This window comes from Homo sapiens, chromosome 3 (genome assembly GCF_000001405.40).
Source record: "Homo sapiens chromosome 3, GRCh38.p14 Primary Assembly".
Classification (NCBI taxonomy): domain Eukaryota; kingdom Metazoa; phylum Chordata; class Mammalia; order Primates; family Hominidae; genus Homo; species Homo sapiens.
In genome coordinates, this window is record NC_000003.12 from 96,208,898 (window position 1) to 96,211,430 (window position 2,533).

Below are 2,533 nucleotides of genomic sequence, written 5' to 3' on the forward strand. Positions count from 1 at the left end.
TAATTCACTTTTCAACAAATATTTGTTGAGCCATACTGTAGTCAGAATTTAAGATGGCCCTATAATTTCTGTTCCTTGGTGTTATGTTCCTCCTTGAGTGTCAGAACATGTGGCTATTCTAGCCAACAGAATATGGGAAAAGAGAAGGGATTACACAAACGCAATTAAGGTTCCAAATCCATTGAACCTTCATTAAGTAAAAGTAAGACATTATTAGAGGGCTTAACTGAATAAGTAAAACACATAAAAGGAGTCATAATTATACTGAGGTTGAAGGAACAAGACATTCTGAGTTCTACAAACATTAGAAAATAAATTCTGCCAACAGAAGTGGATAATTTCCCAGTTAAGCCTCTAGATGAGAATATATCTCTGTTCTTCCCTTCACTTCAGCTTTGCGAGACCCTAAGGAGAGAACCCAGTAAAGTCATGCCTGGGCTTCTAACCTCTGAAAACTGTGAGACAATAAATGGGTGTCATTTTAAGTGAGTAAATATTTTGGTAATTTTTTACACATAAATAGAAAACTAATACAAGCAAATATTCTGCTCCTTGCGCCGTATTCTAGAAACTGTGGGAACAAGAGTGATAAGAAAAATATATACATGTTTAGATAATCTAAAGAGTGGGTACAGTCAGTACAGAGAGAAAAGAGAACCAAACATTAGATCCTAGTCACTCCAACCTTAGAAAGAGGATGAAGTGGGACACTTTGCAAGAGTTAAAAGTAATGCAACCCCCAGTCCAGAGGTTTTCTAGGACACAGAATGAGCAAGTACTCACTTGTAACTGTTGCACCTCCAGTTCTTGATGTTTTAGAAAAGTTACAGGAAGAATCTCAGCCCTGAATAAATAAAATAAAAACTAGTTGGATCCAAAGATGCCTGAATTGAAGATGAACTTTGGCAAGCTCTCCTCATTACCACACTAAAAGCCCCACCCAGGGAAGAGCTTAGTCACTATTATCCACACCTGTGGCTTATATAGAGGAACAACTGATGACGGCATCTGTGCTGCTTTGACCCCACCTCTAGATACAATGACTCAGCTAACAAACCTAATGAAAGGCCAGTTTTCACCTGTTCAGGGAGGCATTGATGTGGGGATTTATTCCAGCTGTCCTGTTTACTTGTTCCAAGTAATCAATTTTCTTTGTTAAATACTCCTTGGTTGTAGCCATTGGACTGTCACCTGCCAAGTCAAAAACAACAACAACAACAACAAAACACTCCTTGCAAAGGTAACAGTAGGAGGAAGTGGAAGATCACCAACAGTGAGTTAAACGTAGGAGCTAATGGGCTGGGCGCGGTGGCTCACAAATTATCTGCTCCCAAAGTACACTGATGGGACAGGCATAGGACACAAATTATAGATATTTCCATTCACAAGGAGAAAGACAAGGAAGATTAAAAAAAAAAAGGCATTAAATCGGCCGAGCGCAGTGGCTCACGCCCGTAATCCCAGCACTTTGGGAGGCCGAGGCGGGCGGATCACGAGGTCAGGAGATCGAGACCATCCTGGCTAACACGGTGAAACCCCGTCTCCACTAAAAATACAAAAAATTAGCCGGGCGTGGTGGTGGGTGCCTCTAGTCCCAGCTACTCGGGAGGCTGAGGCAAGAGAATGGCGTGACCTGGGAGGCGGAGCTTGCAGTGAGCCGAGACTGAGCCACTGCACTCCAGCCTGGGTGACAAAGCAAGACTCTGTCTCAAAAAAAAAAAAAAAAGAAAAAAAAAGAGAAAAAATGGAGCTAATGAGGTAGGAAACAAGCATAGCACAGTGTTTCAGAAGTCTATGAAGGTATATTTTGAGGGACGAAAAGGACAATGGTTTCAAATTCTACTGAGAGGTCAAGAAAGATGAGTAATAATTTTTCCAAATGGTTTTAACAGTGTGGACATCGTTAGTGAATGAAAGGAGAATTTTTTTAACGAATTAATGGAGGTTAAATCTTGATCAAATTGGCTTTAAAAGAGGATACAAAGGGAGTAGACAGGGAATGTAAACAAACAAACAAAAACTTATTAAGTGATTTAATAGAAATTAAATGCATCAATCCTATTGAGTTTTACTAGAAGGAATTATTGGAACGATTCTTTTCCCCTCTCATAAATTTATTTCAAAGCTGGAGCAGAAGAAATTTGCTATCTCATAATTTTATACATACTTGATGTATTCATCAAAAATGAAAACACACTAAAGAAAATTTTAGTTAAAGAAAGACTAAAAGAATTTATCATCACTAGATCTGCACTAGGAAAACATATCATCCTTAACCTGAAATGCAATGACTAGGAAATTCAAGACTAGGAAGTAATGAACAATGAAAAAGGAAAAATATGAGGATAAATATGACTGCTTATTTTTCTTCTCATATTGTTAAAGAACATACGACTTTTTCAAACAAAAACCGTAACATTATTCTATGATTTCTATGTGTGTAGATGTAATTCATAATAATGATAACACAAAATACAAAAATAGAAGAATGGAACTATACTATTGGAAATTTTTCATATTTCATATGAAGTTA

General features: G+C 37.7%; 1 annotated feature.

Annotated features, from left to right (window-relative positions):
- Positions 432-1,631: an enhancer, noted in NCBI's record as "P300/CBP strongly-dependent group 1 enhancer chr3:95928173-95929372 (GRCh37/hg19 assembly coordinates)". NCBI's record gives its function as "activates an origin of replication core promoter dependent on BRD2, BRD4, P300/CBP, MED14 and CDK7 cofactors, with strong dependence on P300/CBP, by STARR-seq in HCT116 cells {active_cell/tissue: HCT116}" and the evidence as "EXISTENCE:reporter gene assay evidence [ECO:0000049][PMID:35650434]".